General features: G+C 40.6%; 2 annotated features.

Moving 5' to 3' along the window:
• Positions 696-896: a silencer, noted in NCBI's record as "peak2744 fragment used in MPRA reporter construct". NCBI's record gives its function as "represses an SCP1 promoter by STARR-seq MPRAs in K562 erythroleukemia cells {active_cell/tissue: K562}" and the evidence as "EXISTENCE:reporter gene assay evidence [ECO:0000049][PMID:32103011]".
• Positions 15,298-15,798: an enhancer, noted in NCBI's record as "H3K27ac hESC enhancer chr17:13654264-13654764 (GRCh37/hg19 assembly coordinates)". NCBI's record gives its function as "activates a minimal SCP1, AML or CMV promoter by ChIP-STARR-seq in primed H9 embryonic stem cells {active_cell/tissue: H9 hESC(primed)}" and the evidence as "EXISTENCE:reporter gene assay evidence [ECO:0000049][PMID:30033119]".

Here is a 22,385-nt window from a genome sequence, read left to right as displayed (position 1 = left end):
TGTGACATTTTTGCAGCTCTTAAAAACACCTGGATGTATTCTGTGATATTCTTGATGCTAAGAATTTCTCCATCCAAATATGGACCTAACCCACAGCTGGAAATAACATGCTCTTCAAATCCCCCTGCCAAAGACTTAAATATCTTCCCAGCATTTTAAATCATTTAAAGGCACTTAACCACTCGAAATGGTATGAGTTCTCCTTCCACTCACATGGAAAGCATTGCACAATTGACAAAGAGCATTAAAGGGGCTTCAAAACCAAAGTTAGAAAAAAAGTCATGAAAAGCAAATACTCTAGAGATTTATGAATAAAAATCTTTACCTAAACCATAGTAAAAGGCTCATCAGGAATGGGTGGACAGTCCTCCCCCACTCTCACTCCGAAAATGGTAAGAATTCACTTGTTCTGGTTGGATGTACAAAGAAAAAAAAAGGCTTCTATAAAACATAAAAACCACAGGGGAAAAAAAATCTGTTTTTCTTTTTCTTTTTCCTTAAACAGGGGAAGAAAATCAACTGATAGAAATATTTCGATAGAACAAACACTGGGGAATAGGTGAACTTTCTCCAGGCCAAAAAACCTTCATCTCTTACCTGGACAACTGTAATAGCTGCCCAACAGGCTTCCACTCTGACCACCAAAATTCATTCTCCAAAAAGCTTCCAAAACATATCACTTGTCTGTCAAAATCTTCCAGTGACTTTCAACTCTTCTTTGAGTCAAACCCAACCCCTTTATCAGGGCCCGCAAGATCCTGCATGACTTGATTCCATGCTTGTTTCTGCCACCTCACCCTGAAACATTCCTGTTCTCTGTGAAACCACTACATTGATATTCTATTCTTAGAACACACTGAGCTTGTTCCAGCTCAGGCCTTTTGCACTTGCTATTCCTCTGTCTGGAGCACACTTTTCTGAGTTTCTTTTAAAGAGGTTCTCATAGTTTATTAATAAATCTAACTCCCATTAGCCTGCCTAACGTAAACTACTCTTTACCCTTAGCCAGTTTCTGCTATTTAATGAGTTTTATTCTTTCACAACACCTCAAATATATAACTAGGTTATCCTGTTTACTACTTTTTTTTTTTTTTACTATTTAGTCTCTTATTAGAATAGAGATGCCAGGTAGTAGGGACTTCTATTTGTTCAACATTATATCCTCGGTACCATTGACCCTTGAGCAACATGGATTTGAACTACATGAGCCTGCTTATTGCAAATTTCCTTCCACCTTTGCAACCAGTGGGACGGCAAGACCAAGCCCACTTTTTCTCCTCCTCCTCCGCCTACTCAAAGTGAAGACAGCAAGGATAAAGACCTTTGTGATGATCCACGCCTCCTTAATGAATAGTAAATATATTTTCTCTTTTAATTTTCTTAATAACATTTTCTTTTCTCTAACTTACTTTAACAATACAGCATATAATACACATAACACACAAAACGTGTGGATTGGTAAGGCTTTTAGTCAATAGCAGGCTATTAGTAGTTAAATTTTGGAGGAGTCAAAAGTTACATGGGGGTCTTTGATAGTGTGGGGGTCAGTACCCCTAATGCCCATGTTGTTCAAGGGTCTACTGTAATTAGAACTTGGTCTGGTACTTATAGCCTTCAATAAATATTTTTGGAATGAATGAATGAGTAAATGATGAATTTAAAGATCCTGTTCTAAAATATAGAGATTACTAGTCAACACAATTCATTAGTGAACCAAGCACAATAAATTCATAATTGTGCCTCATGAATGGGCATTTCTATGATGACACACGAAGTAATGCCATGTATTAGGAGAGTCAAGAAGCACATTGCTTTGATAGATACTCCTTCTTTTCTGGGTTCTATGTCTTTGAACTACTCTGAAACAGTGTTTTCCAAACGTTCCTGATGAAGAGTCACCTAGGGTGCTGGTAAAAATGCAGCCTCCAAAACCTGGCTCTTGGAGATACTGAAATCATGAGTCCAGGAGGAATCCTGAGAATTTGAAACTATAACATGCATTTCCTGGAGATTTTTATCAATGAAGCTTGAGAAACTGCTCTAGAGCGGAGGTTGGCAAACTGCTACACATTAAAATCCCAGGGCCCAAGTTGTACCCTCATATTAATTAAATCAGAATGTCTAGGGGGTCAGACTCAGGCATTCGTCTTTTCTAAAACTCTTCATTATTCCAAAGTGTGTTCAAGTTGTGATAACTACTTCTCTAAAACAGGGTTTCTCAAACTTTAATTTGCAAATGAATCACCTGGGGATCTTGTTTGAGTGTAGATTCTCATTTAGTGGGTCTTGGTGGGAGCCCAAGACTCTGTTTCTTTGGCACGCTTCCAGCAATGTCGATGCTGGGGGTGCCTCTCATTAAGTAACAAAGTCTAGTGGATACATAAATTGTCCAATACCTAGTGTCATTGGCCATGCATATGGTATAGGAACTGTTAGGATCCTGTGCTGGAATCTGTGGGGCTGTGGCTCAGAACATGATATCTCAAACTACGGCACCTTGACCCACTGAGTACTTTGAACAAGAGGACTGGAAGGTCTCAGAAGCAAGGCTTCTCTAATATTCTTCTGCTCTCCCCTCTCTTGTCCCTCATTCTCCTCTGGAGCAAGTCATAGAATCCAGAATTCCTCTTCCCAAGTCACGTTATATAAACTAGAACTCTTCACTGAGCGTGGTGGCTCATGCCTGTAATCCCAGCACTTTGGGAGGCCAAGGCCAGTGGATCATGAGGTCAGGAGTTTGAGACCAGCCTGACCAATGTGGTGAAACCCTGTCTCTAATAAAAATACAAAAAATTAGCCAGGCGTGGTGGCCCATGCCTATAATCCCAGCTACTCAGGAGGTTGAGGCAGGAGAATTGCTTGAATCCGGGAGGCGGATGTTGCAGTGAGCCGAGATTGCACCACAGCACTCCAGCCTGGGCGACAGAGTGACACTCTGTCTCAAAAAAAAAAAAAAAAAAAGAAAAAGAAAAGAAACTAGAACTATTCTCCCCAAAGCAAGTCGTAAAACCCAGAAATGTCACTCTTCCTTTCTCTCATCTCCCTTGAAGACCTAATTCCAGAGGGGTCCTGTCCTATATCTTGGGGAAGAGACACAACATTGAGAGACCAAGAAGAATCTGAACAGATGAACCTTGCTGGGTCTGTCCTGTCCTCAGTCTATTACCACGAGATCACACCCTTTTGTCCAATCAGATTTCTATATGGCTGTGCATTCTTTATTGAACCTAAGCATAAAAATAGATAGTTTTCTCTAGGTCTTTGGGTCTTCAGTTCAAAAAGCTCTGTGTCAAGTAAGACTTTGATAAAATAAGATTGTTATGCATTTCTCTTGTTACCTTGTTTCTTATTATAGGAGTGTCGACCATGACGCCTGTGATGGGTGAAGGAAGGCTTCACACTTTTCTGCCCCTACAGTGGTAAGGCTGGTGTGTATTTAAGGCATTTGTGTTGCTGCACCAGCCATATTGTTCAGCTAATCATATTTTGTTATGGACAAGTTTTCTTCCTGGAGTCTGGGGCTGAGTAATACAGTCCATTTATTGTTGGTAAACACACCTGATGGTCCACTTCATGTGAGGTGCTGTGCTTACTCTCCTATGGATGGGACAATCACCATAAATGTTGAAATAAATATCCTCGGCCGGGTGTGGTGGCTCACGCTTGTAATCCCAGCACTTTGGGAGGCTGAGGTGGGCGGATCACGAGGTCAGGAGATCAAGACCATCCTGGCTAACATGGTGAAACCCCGCCTCTACTAAAAATACAAAAAATTAGGCAGGTGTGGTGATGGGCGCCTGTAGTCGCTGCTACTCGGGAGGCTGAGGCAGGAGAATGGCGTCAACCCAGGAGGCGGAGCTTGCAGTGAGTCGAGATCATGACACTGCACTCCAGCCTGGGGGACAGAGCGAGACTCCCTCTCAAAAAAAAAAAAAAAAAAAAAAAAAAAGAAAAAGAAAGAAATATCCTCACACGAAACAGTCATATTTATGTGGTGTCATTTTACAGTGGTCTTCCGTCCTGAAAACACACAAAAGTATTAAAAACTCTGCAAACCTTTGAAACCCATAGCTTGAGTTGGATGACAATCTTTTAAGTGCATTCATGGATGGAGCCTAATTGCTTACAACCTTGAACAAATTGTCGCATCTTTTTTGTAAATCTGAATCTTGATTCTGGAAACACATACATATTGGTAACATCAATGGTCAGTTTCTGAGTCTTTTCATTATCTGTCATGCCAAGGCCTTATTATAAGCAGAAGCTGTGAGTGTGGAAAAAGAAGTTTCCCTTGACTGGCTTTGGTCAAAGGCCATGTCCTTATATTCAATTAGTTAGGCCTGTGGCAGTTCCATCACTGAGTAATAATAGATCTGATTACCTTCTTAATGACTAACATAATCAAATCCTTTATTGATAAGACCACTGCTTTGCCCTTGACCATAATGAAAGTTGAGGAAAAAAATTGATTTTGTTGCTGAAGACTAATCAGTGTCCTTAAATTGTGAAGTCTTTTGGGAAGGGGGAGGTGCCATGATTCCAGTTGCTCATGAGCATCAGTGATTTGAACCGTCCTGGCATTGAGTCTTGAATTATAGTATAAAGTCATTCAACATGGGAAGCATCCTTATGGCTTGAGTATTCTTGCAACAAGATGATTATTAAAAAAAAAAAATTCAATACAAAGTACCAAGTAAATTGAAGTAAAATATCATAAGTTCTACTTATGGAAAGAGAATCTGCCATATTCTAGAGCAGTAGCATGTTTAAGAGGGGGTATTATCACATTGTGGAAATAAACCCAGTCTTCCCACTTGCTAACTGTGCAGAATTAATCAAGCTCCTCAGAAATTTAGGGTTCAATTCCCCTATGTCTAAAATTGAACCTCAAAGTCCTTTTCATTTTCAAAATCCTATGAATCTATGAGTGTTTCAGCTGGTATGCTCCTATAATGGCTCAATTTAGAAATGGGAGGTTTGTAGCTTTTAGTTAGCAGCCCTTGTTTTCTGATAGTCTCTGATGGCCAGCGAACTAATTAAAGATTAACACGACTTTATTCGAAACCTCTCAGACTGAGAGTTGTAGATTTGCTATGGAATAAATTGAGGATATCTGTACTCTAAACTAGGCTCTGTGGGTACTTTTCACTGGGCACAAACTCACTTAACAAAATAAGAGGACATACAGCCACATATATGTTTATTCAGCCCCTTGCAACCAAGTCCTTTTTCAGCACCTCCGTAACTGTTGGGAAAACAGCAAGGTAATTGCCAAGTTCAATCAGCTTCCATGATGTAATAAATGGAAAGACCTGTGAATTGCTCCATTGCTACACATTAAGGCCTGGAATGATGTCATTCTTTAAAAATAAATAAGCATAACCTAATGTCTTTTTATTAATAGTCGACTAATTGCTGCATCAGAAGAAGGAAAGCTTTGTAGAAGGGAGTGAGAAACTGCCCCTGACATCATACCAACAGTACAAGAGGGACTTTATTCTCTGTGTGTACACACATACACACATGGGTAAAATGGCTTCTTAAATAATGAATCCCTAGATAATGCTGCAAGAGACATGAAAGGGGTGTCAGCAATCTGATTGGCTCACAGCTGGAAAAAATTAGAGAACTGAAAAATGACAGAATGATACAATGTACTACATGGTAATAGCCTTGGCTTGGCAGGGAAAGGAGGGAAGGAGCTCTGTTTTGAGCGACCCCTCCTGCTGTCCCTGGGCATCCTCTGTTTCAGACCCCACACCTGCACAGATACTTACCTGTGTTCTCATTTATTTGTTCAAGTACACTGCAACCACTGCAAAGACCTAGTAACGTGCAACTTAGTTGAGTGAAAATAGAATCAATGAAATGGCTTTACTATTTGGGGGTCAATTATGTTGAATTGCTTTGCTGTTAATTGGATCACAGCCCATCAGATTTCATGCAGTCTTCAGTTTGAAATGTTCCATGGTCTAGTCACCACCTTGTCCTCTCTCTGAAAGCAACACAAAGGAATATGTTGTCTGATTGTCCTCCTGAATATCAACCTTAAAATACAGGCAAATACACTAACATCCCAGTTAGAACAATGTTTAGTATAACTGTTTGTGAGCTGATAACTTATCCAGGTCCCAAGAGCAACTATTTTACTCAATTCATAGAGACATAGTCTTTTTTCTTCTTCTTCTTAACATAACACCATAAATGTAATGCTTTGTTACAATTATAAATTGTAATGGGAGCAATATATTAAAAATAAAAATCAAACAAGACTGAACCATTCCTCAATAAGGAAAGTAGAGAAGTCAAGGCACTGTAGAAGAACCAGATTATCCAGGTATTAGGAATCCTTAAGTATTTATGGCTTTAGAGACTGAAGTTTTTCTTATCAATGGGTTTGAATGCAGCAATGTTTTTCCCCAGGAGATTGAATCTGTCCCTTTCTCATCTACTTGGGATGTGTTTTTGCAATGACTTTTGTAGCAATGGATAAAAGAAAGGTCCTTTCACAACTTCTGGAACATGTTATCATATTTCCTATGGACAGACATCATAAAATACTGACTCAAATTGAAATGCGTGATTCATTGTTAGTGGGAACACAATCCCACGTGCATTACCATATATAATGTGGATAGCAATATGCCTCTTATTTTCAGCATAGAATTTCTTATGCTATGTAGTCAACATATGTATCAGTTGCATGAGGCATTTCGACCTGAGTCATTATTATAAGGGAAAGAGGTTCAGAAGCTATTATCAAGGGAAAGCAGTCCTGGTATCTGGTATCTGGCTTGTGATCAGTGTTCTAACAACTCTGCATAAGCCATTCAAATATTACTCCTTTGATACCAAGTCACAATTGGAGTTATGAGTGAGTCAGAAGAAATAACTTATCAAGAATATGAAAGCGTTCTCTTGGCTTCTCTTGCCTGAAGATTGTAAATGCGAATGATTGCCTACCTCTCCCACCACATTGCAGAGCTGAAATGACTTAATTGAGATTCTAGCCACTAACAGTGCTTCAGTACATAGAGTGACCACTCTAGCATGGTAGCTCATCTGTGTTACTCAAGCAGAGTGTTATTCATCATTAGACACATAACAGGAGCTTCAGTGATGACAGAGGAAGAAGGATAACAGTGAAAAGGAGAAGAGGGAGAAAACCTAGTGTGCGGATGCCAATATAAACTACCTTGCAAGGAAGCACAGCCATGTGTTGGGAAGAGCACTGGACTTGAGAATAATAACAATAATGATTAACAACAACAATTATAATAATTGGGAGTCAGGAACGTGAGTTCTGTTGTACTTACCTAAGACTCTGTTTCTCAAAGGGTAGTCCCTTTGTTAAAAAGGCAAATGCTCAGGCTCCATGGCTATCTGAATCAGAGACTCCGGGGCAAGATCCCAGCAATCTGTGTTTTAATAAGCCCTCCAGGTAATTCTGATGCACTGTAAGGTTTGAGAACCAACCTAAGAAATTTGTTGAAGCTAGGCCAGTTGCAACGTTTACTTTTTGAAAGCAATTCCCCCACACTCACATGATCCTCACTCTGCTCTCCACTCTGCCCTCACTACATTCTCTTTCATCAGAGATATTGACTAGGAAAGACATCTGAGAGTAAGAAAGAGTTTGTGTTGTTCAATAGCTGTGGGACTTCAGGCAAGTGCAGCCACTTTTGGGGCCTCAGTTTCCATATCTGCAAAATGAGGGGTTGGCCTAGAAGATCACCAAGGTTCCTATAGATTTAATATTATACCGTTCTAAGAGTTGTTAAGTGTTATTCTAAACCTTAAGCGTCCACCATCACTCTCATTATGCATGTTACCAAGGCATCCAGAGGATAAGAGAGGCTGATAATACTCCTCAAGATAACAGCACAATAAACAATCAAAGCCTTGCAGATAATAAGACCCTTGGCAAAAAATGCCTGACTATCTAAGACAGGAACAGTGATGTATAGCAAATACATTTAAACTTAGCAGTCTGCATTCTTGGGACATAGACTAAAGATTGTGTGTTAATGTTAGAAAAAGCAACACATTCCCCAGAAGGGTTATTCTGAATGTTTAAATGGTAAATCCAGGTGAATAGGCATTCACGCAGATAAACAATGAGGTTTCATAATGGATTTATTAATAATAACATACAATAATAAATGTGAGACAGAAGCCACTGGTAAACATTTTGGAAACCAGATGGTGCATGCATTAGATAGAAGAGACAGTTTAGGCTCATTTTATTATTTTATTTTATTAAAACAATTTTAGCTATTTTAAATGGAAAATTTTAAACTGACAAAAAGTAGGTACAATAGAATAATGAACCCCTGAACTTGTTGGAACCAAAGTTTTAGGCGAAGACTATAATGGGGAAATAGGAAAACAGTGAAGATCAGAGAAGTGGGAGGCGACAGGTTAGACCCAGGGAAGCAGAAGAATATCAGCAGTGAAATTCTGTCTTCAAAGAGCACATGAAGAAGACATCTGAGGCTGGGCTCTGGATGGCTCATAGTGAGATGGGCCAACCACTGATAATAGCAATGACATAGGAGAGGAGATGACAGTCTTTTAAACACTTTACACTTATTCTCCCAACACCACTGTATGTGATAAGTACTGGTAGTAACCCTGTTTTGGAGGCATGTTAACAGAGTCCCAGAAGGCTAGTAAGTGGCAGAGAGGGGACTTGAACCCCGGCAGGTGGCTTCTAGAGCCTGCATGCTTATCCACTAAACTGCTTCTTTACCTTAGAGGTATATCAGACCAAGCTCCTTGTTATACAAACCAAGGGGAAGAGAGAGAAAGTGACTTCCTACTGGCAGATAGAGTCTCTCAACGTGTATTGGGCAACCCCCAAATACAAAATACTGATGCCGCCAGGCACAGTGGCTCATGCCTGTAATCACAGCACTTTGGGAGGCTGAGGCAGGCGGATCACTTGAGGTCAGGAGTTCGAGACCAGCCTGGCCAACATGGTGAAACCCCGTCTCTACAAAAACACAAATATAATTAGCTGGCTGTGGTGGTTATGCCACCTAGCTACTTGTAATAATATAAAATAAAATAAAATAAAATAAAATAAAATAAAATAAAATAAAATAAAATAAAACAAAACAAAACAAAACAAAACAAAATAAAAAACTAGTAGTAATCCTAGCTACTTGGGAGGCTGAGGCAGGAGAACTGTTTGATCCTGGGAGGCAGAGGTTGCAGTGAACCGAGATTGCACTACTGCACTCCAGCCTAGGTGACCAAGCTAGATTCCATTTCCAGAAAAATAAAAAATAAAAAAAGTACTGATGCCTCACCCAAAGCAAATGAGTTAAAATCTTAGAAGGGTAGGGTCGCAGCCTTCTTTGAACCTCCTCGGTGATTCTAATGTGCAGCCGAGGTAGAGAAACTACTAAGCGTGGAAATAGCTTTAGGTGTCATCTATTCTGAAATTCCAACTCTGTCACTCTACATTTCCTCACTTGTTATATAAGGAAATATCTTTTTTATTGAGGTGATTATAATACAAACAGTTTTTCAAAGGCCTTTGGCACAACTGCAAGTACTCAACAAATTAGAGTTGTTTTTTCTCCTATTAGTTGCTGACATATTCAAAGTTAAAAGAATGGATTTTATTTTGCTTTGTTTTCCCATAATCTTAGTATATGACATCCAGCTTCAGCAACACATTGCAGTAATAACTCACATATCAAAGGAGCCGCCTGTTGTAATCAAGGCTTGGGATCAATGAAAGTCAACCAGGCTAACAAGTAGAGTATCACTGCCCCCAGATGTCTGACACTTGTGCTCAGTAAAACGCAAATACCTCCATTCTGATCATCCAGAGAAGTTTTAAGTGCTTTTTTTCCCCCCTCCAGTTTATCTGTGTGAATTGCCTTTCTTGAAGAGGCTAGTTAACCATGGCAAGGCTCAAGATAACTTGTTCTCTGCCTTCAACTATTTGAAGGGCTTTTGATGATCATGAAACTGAAACATTATTTATTCTCTCTGCCTGCAGAGGACTCGGCAATGAAGCATGGACCCCTGTTGAAAGGAAAAATTTCAATTGCACAAGAAGAAAATATGCTGAAATAGACTACAGAATATTTAGATCTTGGCCACTGAGTGAAAATATGCTGGAATAGACTACAGAATGTTTAGACCCACCACTCTCCTACCGTAAAATACAACCCGGTTCTGGTTGGATTGGCCTTCACCTGCCTAACCTATTTTCCTTGGTCTTTTCACACTCTGTGATTTAATATTTATTTCAATTCCCTGATTCAAACCAACCATGTGTCCAGAGTGACTTTGTAAACCCAGTCCGGGCTGAACTGAGGCTGAAACTCCAAGTCCCTCTGGGCTTTTAAGGTTTACAGATCTCAGGAGTGAACATTTTCTTACCAAGTCACTGCTCTCAAAACAAACCCTGGAATGGAAGCTTCATTATCTTGTGGCCATCAGTCCACGTTTCTTCCCCTTCTGCCCTGTTGAGTTTATGTGTGTTTTATCTCCCTCCCGAGAGGGACTATACTTTGTTGGTGTTAAAGTGATCACGCTGGAGAGTTTATATATTCTCTCATTTTCAAAAAAATCTATCTTTGATTCCTAAATGCCTACATTCACAGCACTTTACAGCTGAAAGTGGCTGAGGTTGGGGCATTCGCTGGAACATCTTGAGAGAGTGAAACTGAAGCTTCAGAAAGGCGAAGCGACTTACCCAAGACCAAGTGGCTATTCCGTTTTGAGAGTAGTACCTTTTCCCAGTAACGGGGCTACAGGAATGTGCCACCATGCCCTGCTAATTTTTATTTTTATTTTTTTTTTGGTAGAGATGAGGCTTCATCATGTTGCCCAGGCTGGTCTCAAAATCTCGGGCTCAAGTGATCCACCCATCTAGGCCTCCCAAAATGAAAACTTTTTATATAGTGAAAAATTAGTCCGGGCACAATGGCTCACACCTGCAATCCCAGCACTTTGAGAAGCAGAGGTGGGTGCATCAGTTGAGGCCAGGAGTTCAAGACCAGCCTGGCCAACATGGTGAAACCCATATCTCCTAAATATACAAAAATTAGTCAGTCATGGTGGTGCACCCCTGTCATCCCAGCTACTCAGAAGGCTGAGGCAGGAGAATCGCTTGAACCTGGGAGGCAGAGGTTGCAGTGAGCTGAGATTGTGCCACTGCACTCCAGCCTGGGCAACAGAGTGAGACTGTGAAAAAAAAGAAAGAAAGAAAGAAAGAAAAAAAAGAAAGAAAGAGAAGGAGAGAGGGAGGAAGGAAGGGAAGTTAAACATATATAATAAAAGTAGATAGCATAGTATATCAACCCCCATAATCCTGAAACTCAACAACCATCACTGATGATTGGTCAAATGTGAGAGGTGCCCTCCATATACCTGGAGGAAACGAGCATCTTTCTCTCTGAACACACAGGGACACGGAAAAAATCTGAACAAACAGGCCCTACTAAGTCCCCTCAGTTTATTACCATTGGATCCTATTGTCACGGAGAATCTTATTCCTCCACGACTCTCCGTTCTTCATCAAGCCTAGCTCAGGTTTGTCTGGTCTTTGCTCCCTTATGAAGGCCCCCATGTCACATAAAATGTACATTAAATACATTTGTATGCTTTCTCTTGTTAATCTGTCTTTCATTCAAGTGGCTTTAGCCACAAACCTAGGAATAGCAGAAAGATATTTTTCTTCCCCTACATATTGTCTATACCCTAAATTACCTCGCTCCTATATTAATTTTAAGCAAATTCTAGACATTACATTACTTTATGCATAATTACTATAAAAAAAGTTCTTAAAAAAACCCAACCACATAACCACCGTAATACTATCACACTTAAGAATTTCAAAATAGTTCTTTGATACCATCAAATAGACAACTTTCAGATTTTCTATTGCCATACAGGTATTACTTTTTTAAACAATGTTTTGATAGAACTATTATGTTAAAATAATAAGAAATTATGTGTCTGGAGCTGAAAATCTGACTGAATGACTTCAGAGTAAAAGACTATCAAGAATGTATGAGTCTTTAAGAAGAATGTTATAGATATTAAGTATTTTATAAAATCAGAGAGTGGTATCAACATCCACTGAGTCCTATGCTCAGAAGGCCAAAGGAAGCATAATTTTTAACTGGGCCTGACATTTAGGCATTAGGTAAGTAGAATTTAAAAGGGCAAATTCAGACTAGGAAGAGATGTGCCTAAAATCTCAGAAGCAGGAATATGTAAGGACTATTTGTGAGATGGTGAATAGAACACTTGTTACAGTCAAAGCTTTGCACCTTTACAACAAAATATGGAATGATAATATTAAGTATTTGAGTTGGATGTGATTCTGAAAGTCCTTAAATCTCAAGCTCAGGGTTTTTAGCTTGTCTTTTTATACATTGGGGTTCCAATGGAGGGCTTTTGAGCTATTATAAATGCAATCTGATTACATGAATAGTGGCAAAACAGAAATGCAACATTTTGTCATTATTACACAAAATAAATTCATGTGGAAGCAACACCTATCTATCTTCGTACACCATCAGAAAATATAATTAGAGAAGGAAGTGTAATTTAAATGATAACTTCTAACACACTGTAAATATGAAGTTTTTTTTTTCAGGGACATTCCAATATCATTTGTCAACAGACATCAAATTAAACTGGGAAAAAAAGAACATGACTAGTTTATGTCTCCAGTCAAGATATTTGAAGTTGTTTATTGAACTGGAATTCAATCTCCATAATTCTGTGGCTTCCTCTTTTTATCCATAATAATTCATCTCTATAATTAAAGCCTAATGAACCAAACAATTTCTCTCTTCATAATCAAGTTCAGCTGTGTGAGGGGCCAACATTAAAATAGAATCTTTCCAGTAAACAGATCCAGTGCTCCTAGCTAAAAAAAAAAAAAAAAGGAAAAGAAAAAGAAAAAAACGCACACTTTCTTTTTCTCTTGAAATTTCTCATTTATTCCCATTAATTAGATTTATTTCCTTAAGGATGCTGGAATGTCATAAAGAGTATCAATAGAGACTCCTAATAACCTCCAGAACTAAAGAAAAGCTTCATTTTTATTAAATTAATTAATTGATGCCACTTGAAATCTAAAATGTGCCATGTCATCTATGATCTATTGAGGGCCTTCAATTCATTTGTTTCATGCTTTGTTGTTTAATAATGCTTTGGTTCTTGGTAAAAGGATTGGTAAGAAAGAAGATGGAATTTCCATCTTTGAGTTCTTATTTAAAATTTAAATAACTCTTGCAAATGTAAGGCTTTAAAGCCATTATCAGTTAATGTCTTTGGACATAATTAGCTGATATCCAGCTGGGACCTGTATCGGTGCCTGTTGAAATGAAGGCCCAGGCTGAAGAATTGCAGAGTGAAGATAACAAGTACAACATTATCAGTCTCTACAGCTTTGCCAATCAAGCCAGTCAAGTCACTTCAAAGCAAATCTCTTTCCCCCGTCAGCGTAAATAAAAACCAGAGATTGCCATGTCTGAGTAGCTACCATTTCTTCTGAAAAAACTTCTATTGTTGAAATAATTGTAAATAATATTTTACATATACTGCCTTATACATAACAAGGTCCTTTCTTTTTTTTTCTTTTTTTAAATTTTCTTCTTTGAGACAGAGTCTCGCTCTGTCACCCAGGCTGGAGTGCAGTGGCTCAATCTTGGCTCACTGCAACCTCCACCTCCCAGGTTCAAGCAATTCTTCTGCCTCAGCCTCCAGAGTAGCTGGGACTACAGGTGTGCACCACCACGCCCCGCTAATTTTCGTATTTTTAGTAGAGATGGGCTTTCACCATCTTGGCCAGGGTGGTCTCGAACTCCTGACCAACAAGGTCCTTTCTATTGGAGCCTCAGTGGTTGCCCACATTTGGGACCTGTTTTCCCTTCATTATGGCTCTTAGGAAGCTCAAGCCAATATTTAAAAAAGATATTTCACAGAAAAAGGTGGATCCCTAGCTTCACTTGGAAACTAGGAAGATGGCACAAAACTAGTCCTGTCTTCCTATTTTCTCAGGAGGCTGGGATCAGCAGACTCTGAGGAGCAGCCACCCTCTTTGGAAGGGGCATGTGCCCCCATTTCTCCTGGGCTCCAGTTCCCCCCACCCCTGAGGATGTATAACTCTCCATTATCATTGTCTTGCAATTAATTTCCTTTTCTTCTGGTAGAGAACTATCTTCCTACACTTACGTCTCCATAAAAAGTGGGAGAATGAAAGATGGCCAAGAGGCACACTGGCTTTCCCTACACCTTGTCTGCCTTATTCATTTAGGTTTCCTGCCTGACGCCCATGGACAGTGAGTCCTTACTCCTGCCTCAAGACCTTCAGATCAATACCCCTCCTCCAACTGGTTTCTTTACATTTTTTGCTTTGTCTTTTATCCTTTTCATTTTACTATTTCCTCTGGTATCTTTTTTTTTTTTTTTTTTTTTTTGTTGTTGTTGTTGTTGAGACAGAGTCTCGCTCTGTCGCCAGGCTGGAGTTCAGTGGTGCAATCTCGGCTCACTGCACCCTCCACCTCCAGGGTTCAAGCAATTCTCTTGCCTCAGCCTCCCAAGTAACTGGGACTCTGGGACTTCAGGTGCGTGCCACCACGCCCAGCTAATTTTTGTATGTTCAGTAGAGATGGGGTTTCACCATGTTGGCCAGGATGGTCTCGATCTCTTGACCTCGTGATCCACCCGCCTCGGCCTCCCAAAGTGCTGGGATTATAGGCGTGAGCCACCGCACCTAGCCTGTACCCTTTAAAATAAAACCTTAGAACCTAGAATTAGCTCAGTTCTGCCTTTCATTATTTTTTCCACATTTTCAAGCATAAACATCCTTTGTTTGGTTTGTTTCTCTTGACATTTCACCATTTACCAACTCTCTGACAGAGAATTTAATAACTACCAGTTTAAAATTTGTCTGTAAATATTATAAAGGGACTTTTCAAAATCTGGAAATTTTCTGGCTCCTCACATGCATGTCATGCATATCAATTTTTTCAGGCAAGGGTTGCATTTATCGTTGTGTTCTCAATGCCTAACAGTGTGAGAAACAGAATAGTCACTTACGAAATGTTTGCTGAGTGAAGATCCCTTCAGATAGAAGCTAGTTAGATCAGAAGTCTGTAAAGGTTTGTCACCCGAGAAAAAACAGGGTTTATTTGCCTGGCGAGTAACATGAGAATGCAGATTTTAATCAATAGGAGTTTTATTACTTGTCACAAGTAAGGAGAGCACTACAAGTGTTCTCCAAAGCGGTGTCTCCCCAAGGGAAGCGACAGGAGGGTTTTATGGGGGTGAGAGAGGAAAGGGTGGATCATCGCATATAGAGGACAGGCCCCATTTGGGCAGATGTAGTGAGTCATCCTGCCAGCAACACGGGTCTCATGTTATGCTAATGAAGCTGTAGCCCCTCCCACGGTGGAGAATTTAGCATGGAACTGAGGATAGTTCACTTAGGTTCATGTATAAGTTGTTGGGGTCTGTCAGGAGCTGGTTTCAATAGACGATGTGGCTGCATTCCACACAGAATTTGGGGGAAAACCGGCTGTCAGCTGGGAGGATGTAAAACAGTCTGATTGCTCAAGTTGATTAAATTCCTGTAGTCCCTGGGCACTCTTCCTCTCTGCTCACACTTTTTCTGCAAAAAGACAAATAGCAAATACTGCAGGCTGGTCGGACCATATGGCCTCTGTAGCACAATAGCAGCCCTAGAAGATACATAATTGAATGGGCAGGGCTGTGTTCCAATAAAACTTTATTTACAAAAAAGGTGGTGGCCTGGATCTGGCATGTGGGTCTGTAGTTTGCCAACTCTTGGCTTAGAGGATGTGTCATTTTAAAGCATTTGGAGAAAATAAAAAAAAAAAAAACTATGCTCACTTTCCTTTCTCTGTAGAGAGTAAGAACTGAAATTTAGAAAGGCCAGTCAAGTAGCTATTGTAATCCAGGAATTCAATCCACCGTTTACTGAGCCCTCCTCTTTTCTAGACCCTGTGGCAGGTTTGGGAAACATTATAGTGGACAGAAAGAGAATCTCCCTTGCATCAGTTTTAGAGTGTCAGGGACAAAAAAGACTTATCCTCTACCTTCTTAGGTTCAGTTTTTGAAGGATTAAACTGACAAACTGCAAATTAAACTGACAAAAGACAGTTTAGCAAGAGGGGGAAAAATCCCAGATATAATTACACAGGCACACACAGGGTTTCGCCAAAAAATGTGTCAGAGATAGGTTGGAAATGTGGGGCTTAAATAGCATCTTAATAGGGGATGAAGAAGGGCAGAGGGGCACTTCTGGGAGTCCACATGACTTTTAGGAAAAATAAACGGGCCCTTAGAACACATGAGAGTTCTGGTTGTTTTATGACAATGTTGGTTTAGGTGATTTCTTATTCAGGAGCTGACGTGACTTCTCATCTCTAGTGATAGGAGTCCTTTTTCTCTGGTTGTGAAACTCCTGGGGAGGGAAGTTATGACAACTGAATTCTTTTGAGAGGCTTTGCTTTTAGGGAGATAAAGGGTGTTCAGAAAGGCTTCTTCCTGCAGCTGTTGATTCCCAGAAGTCTTCAGCTCTAAATGATTCTCATGTCACTGAGGCATAGTCTCAGACTCCTGGGAGAGAGAGGCAGGGTTACAGGGAGAGACAAGATAAGACTTACACTGTGATGACAGAGAATCCTGGAGTTCACAGCAGATAAAAGGAGGACCTCCCAGAAGAAGTGATTTCGAAGCTGGAGCCTGAGGGATGGGTGGGAGCTCAGCAGGAGGGGTAAAGATAAGATGTAAGCTGTCAGTATAGAGAGAACACATCCAGCAAAGGAACCAGTCTGTAGAGAGGCCCAGAGGCCCGAACAGCAAGGAAATGCAGTGCGAAAATGCAAGTACATCTATCTGAGACAGAAATGCCAAGGGTTATTGCTGGAGAAGTGGCAGGCCCTGTGCTTTACTTAACACACATGGAATCATTTACTGTCTGCTTTCTCTGTTAGCTTGAAGTCAGGAACTGTGTCCTTGTGGTTCATCCCTACACCCCCCCAGTGCCAGACATAGCTGGATGCTCAATAAATATCTGTTGGCTGACATTTGAGCACTAGGCTTAATTATTGAGAAGAGAAGGTTATGGGTTTTTTAACATGGGGAGCTTTTCCAGAGGCCTCTACCACAGTCGGCTTCACATGCCTTTCAGGAATCCAAGGGTTACACAGGAACCCTTACCTCCAGCTTTGTGCACTCTACCAAAAACACATCCACACTCATGTAGGACTTTCACAAGTTCATGAAAGGCAAGCGTAGTATATTGACTGCAGCCAAGGGAATGATTTTCCAGCCCTCCCTGAATCCATATCCTATGCAAAGAGACTACACAGCTCCTCCCAGGAGGACACAGAATTAATATCCTACCCCTTGAATGTGGCCCGCCTTATGACTTGCTTTGGCCAATTGCTTGCAGCAGAGGTGATACTGTACCATGGCCATTGTAGGAGAGAAGATTTATTTTCTCATCCATTGCTAGGATTGTGGTTGAGAAGCCTTATAACAAGAAACAGATCATCAAGAGAAAAGCATAACAATTTAATGAAGTTTTACATTACATGGGAGACTCCAGAAATGAAGATTCAAAGAAAGAGAAAAAACTATTTTTATGTTTAGCTTTGATAAAGAGTAAACAGTTGTGCAGAAGTATGAGTGGACAATGGGGGTATGACCTAATAGTAATAAACTGGGGAAAACTTAGCAAAGCCTGTTTGTTTAGATCCTTCTTGATTTCTCCGTGTCCTCAAGGATAAGAATGTTTCTTTCCTCCAGGTATAGGGAGGGCACCTCTGGAAAGAAGTTTTTATGATCTACTTCAGGAGAAGGTCAGCTTCAAGGGAGAAGCGTTGAGAGGAAGGTGAGAGTGACCTGCTTACTTCTGCTGTTTTCTCAAATTCCAAGGTGCTATATTATGGGGTGGCATGTTCTGAACCCAATCACTGGCTTCCGAAGACCTTGTATGCTTCTACTCACTTGGAAATCCGTAGTCATATATACAGGCCTGGGTTAGCCTGCTGGGTGTTGGGAGACACATGGCCTAGTCTGTCTGTTGCCTCAGGAACAGCCAACCAACCACAGACATGGGTAAGGGCATCCTACATCTGCCTCTCAATGGCCTAAACCTGGCCTTACCTGACCTGCATAAGTAAGCCTGGCACAAACTGGCAGGTGAGCCCAGCTGATGAGCAAAGTAGCAAGAAATAATAAATGCTCACTGTTTTAAGTCACTGGGTTTTGGGGTGATTTGTTAGGCAGCATAGCTAACTGATACAGCATGAAAAAGGGATCTCTCTTCTCAGCTTTTTCTCATTATCTATAACTTTTTTCTCTCCAAACCATCACCCCTATTTTTCCCTTTGGACCGTCTCTTCAAAGTTAGCTTCTAATAGGCTTTCTCTTTCTGATATTCATCTTTTAAATATTATAGTCATATGTGCAGATTTCTAGATCACGACTGAAAATTGAAAGTGGAATCTGAATCCACACGAAATGGATTTTTTTTTTTTTAAAGAGCAAGACACATATCATGCAGTAGCTAATTGTTTGTGCATGGTTGAATGACTGAACACACCGTGGTGAGGTTTTTCAGCCTTCCATCACAGCTTGCCCATAACAGGGAACACAGAAATGGTGTGTGCAGCCCAGCATGAAAGAAAAGACCTCAGGTCGGTTCCTTTCCAGTCTGCCACTCACAGACAGAGGTGAGGCACGATGCTGTCCATCTTTTTCAAGTGGACACAGGTTGCTCTCAGGGCATGTTTGCTGCCTTGATCCGGATGAGCAAACAGTGATCTTGTGGAAGTAACAGGAACGGGAGTTTTGACATCAGAAGAAGAGCACTGTGGTCAACAGAATTGCATCTCTTTGTCCTCAACAGCCATTTCTCATGAGATCCACGACCCTTGGACCCATGTCACTTGGCATTCCTGCAAAACCTCATGCCAAGATTGTCATTGTGGCTGATATATAGATTCGAAGGTAATCTCACATGTAGTAAGAAAAAGAGGTACACAGAGGCCAGCTATTAGCCCTCATGAAGAAACTAGTCTCTCTGCTTCTGCAAAAAATACATTACTTACATTTGCAACTTAATGTTTTCAAGGCATTTCCTGAATATTTATGGCACTTGGTGCTTATAAGATATTGTGAGAGAAATAACAGAGGCTCAAAGTTACCCAACTAACCCCAAATCATAAAGCAATTTAGTGGCTGAGTGGTTAACCTCCTGACACTTTCATTTCCTTCATTTTATTAATTCAACAAATATTTCTTGAGCATTTACTATGTGCCACTTTTGAAGTGAGACTGAACACATGATTTCGAATTTTTAAAAAACTTTGTTAGTTTTATAATATATGTGAATTTTGAATTACTATTTTAAAAAAGTTTTCACAAATTGCAGACTTAATTTAGCGCCAGCTGAAAAAAAAAAACAGAATATGGCAAGAAACAATTTAATACACTAAATTAAAATATTATTCTTGACTTATTCTAAATAGAATAAAGGTGGAGAAGAAAATATAATATTTCTGCAAGTATCTCAGGTTAGACATTTATTAGGAAGACAGGTATTCCAAAAATGATTAGGAAGCTGGTATAAATTCTTTTTGATAAGTGGCAGAGTTTAATTAAAATAAAAAAGCATGATTGGAAATGTTACGAGAAAGAAATGTTCCAGGGTTGTATGTGAAAGCATTTGTATTTTCTGGAGAAATGTGGAGACTTTAAAAGGTAGCTTTAAATTGTTTGCCTATAGTTTTATAAGATCTACTACCAGCAGGTTAGCCTAAATCAGAGAGGAATGTCTTTTTGTCCTTCTTCAACACAGTCATCTGGTTGTAAAGTAAAGAACTTCCCAGAAAACAAATCCATGTCAAAGTGTACCAGGGCTGGGCAGACCTGAGATACGGACTAAAAGAGAGGAGTACACTAATACAGAGGAGTAAAGAAGAAAGATGACATTAAGTCAGAGAAATAGGCAAAGGCTACGCTGGCGCGTGTCGGGAGCCAGGGCTTCCAGTTTTGCCCAAAGTAAGATGAGATAAGGCTGAATCCTGCAACTCGACAGGCAGGAGTGCTGTGTCAAGAGAAGAAACCAATGCAGAGGGATACACACTTCCTGGTGTGCAGTGAGGCAGACCAGAGCTTCAGAGCCTGGGAAATGTCAGCCAGTTCTGGGTCGCTGACAGCTCCCTCCATTTCCACTCACCGCCCTGCCTCAATGGCTCTCCTGGCTTTGCCCTGAGGCTCCCAAGCACGCTCATGTATGGTCCCTTGGATTTTGGTTTGCTCTGTGTCCACTTTCAGGGACTTCCTTCATTGGATAACCACTCCTGGCCCCTAATGCAGGCCCTATCCCCTCATAGCTCAGCCCACAGGTGAAGGCCCATACTATCTACTTCCAGGTCCAGATGTGGCTCCTCAGCATAGGACCTAAGCTTGGGCCCTGGGAATAAAGCTTGGGAAAATGAGGGCAGCAACCCTAGCAAATTTGCAATAGAAATCCAGATTAATGATTTTGAGTGGAGTTTCAGTAACAAGCTCTGGGCATAAGCAACCATCAAAAAGTTTCAGTATACCAAAGGTTTTTTAATTCAAGAAGTACCTTCTTCCTCGATTCTTACATTCCTTTTGTCTGATCCAAACTGGTTTTGGAGCTGATTTTGGAATTATCTTTTCCAGTGAATTGTCCACATGTCAGGATCATCTGAGATGTTGATTGAATATGCAGATTTCTATCTCCAGCCCTTGTCTAATTGAGTCAGTTGCTTGAGGATGAGGCCCAGGAGCTTGTGTTACTAGCGAGTGGCCCAGGTCCATGAAAGTTATATAACTCCTCAAGTATTTCACAGCACAATGACCTGGATATGGAGGCAGCTCTGGAATCTTCTTATCAAATCTTCTTATCAAAATTTTGCTCTTCTCCATGGGCCTGTTAGCTGCAAGAGCCATAGACAGCGGTTTCCCCCTTCCCACTTGTTGCCTGTTGATTTATTGGAGAAACATTGATCGGTGCCTGTATTAGTTCATTCTTGTATTGTTATAAAGACATACATGAGACTGGGTAATTTATAAAGAAAAGAGGTTTAATTGGCTTACTGTTCTGCAGACAGTACAGGAAACATAGCAGCTTCTGCTTCTGGAGAGGCCTCAGGAAACTTACAATCATGGCAGACGTGAAGGGGAAGCAGGTACCTCCTATATGGCCAGAGGAAGAGCAGGAGATGGAGGGAGGTGCTACACACTTTTAAACAACCAGAACTCACGATAACTCACTCTTGCTGTGACAACACAAAGGTGGGTATTGTTAAACCATGAGAAACTGCTCCCATAATGCAATCACCTCCCACCAGGCGCCACTTCAACACTGGGGATTTGGAAGGAGATTTGGGTGGAGACACAGATCCAAACCAGCGTCAGTACCATGCAATAGGTACTGGTTTGCATATACAGTAGAAAAAAAGTTTACATAAAACTACCTGCCCTCAGGAAGCTAACCTTCAAGTGGGAGGAGACAAGCCATAACCAAGTAAAAACAAGAGTGGTAACTGGCAGGAGAAAATGCATCTGAAAAGGAGGGAAGAAGGGATGGGGCTGGGTAGAGGGGGTTGTAATTTTAAATAGGGGGCCTGGGAAGGCAGCCCTGAGAAGATGGCTTCTGAGTTGTGATCTCATGAAGGGGAAGACACAAGCCTTCTGCAGGGTTACCTGATAAAATAAGTTCGCTGTTATGGACTGAATTGTGTATCCCCTGGCAAAAATCATGTATTGAAGCCCTAATTTCCAGGTGACCCTATTTAGAGATAGGTCCTTCAATGAGGCAATTAATATTAAATAAGGTCACAAAGGTGGGACCCTAATACAATAAGACTGGTGGCCTTTGAAGAAGAGAAAGAGACACCAGGGAAGAATGTGCACAGAGAAAAAACCATGTGAGGACACAGCAGGAAGGCAGCCGTCAACAAGCCCAGGAGAGAGACCTTGGGAGAAACCAAACCTGCCAACTCCTTGACCATGGACTTCCAGCCTCCAGAATGGTGAGAAAATAAATTTCTGTTGTTGAGGCCCTCCAGTCTGTGGTACTTGGTTATGGCAGCTTCAGAAAACTCATGCAGATACTCAGCTACAATTGAATTTCAGATAAACAACAAATAATTTTTAGTGTCAGTGTATAGCATGCATAGCAAAAATGTACTTGTTGTTTATCTGAAATTCAAATGTAGCTGAGCATCCTGCATTTTTATCTGCAAAGTCTGGCAACCTTGGTTACGTGAGCACCTGAGAGAAGAGAATTCCAGGCAGAGTGAACAACAAAAAGGATCTGAGGTGATCAGCATGGT

Source organism: Homo sapiens, chromosome 17, assembly GCF_000001405.40.
Source record: "Homo sapiens chromosome 17, GRCh38.p14 Primary Assembly".
Classification (NCBI taxonomy): domain Eukaryota; kingdom Metazoa; phylum Chordata; class Mammalia; order Primates; family Hominidae; genus Homo; species Homo sapiens.
The sequence above is the reverse complement of the archived record's forward strand: the minus strand, read 5'-3'. Positions and strand labels throughout refer to the sequence as shown.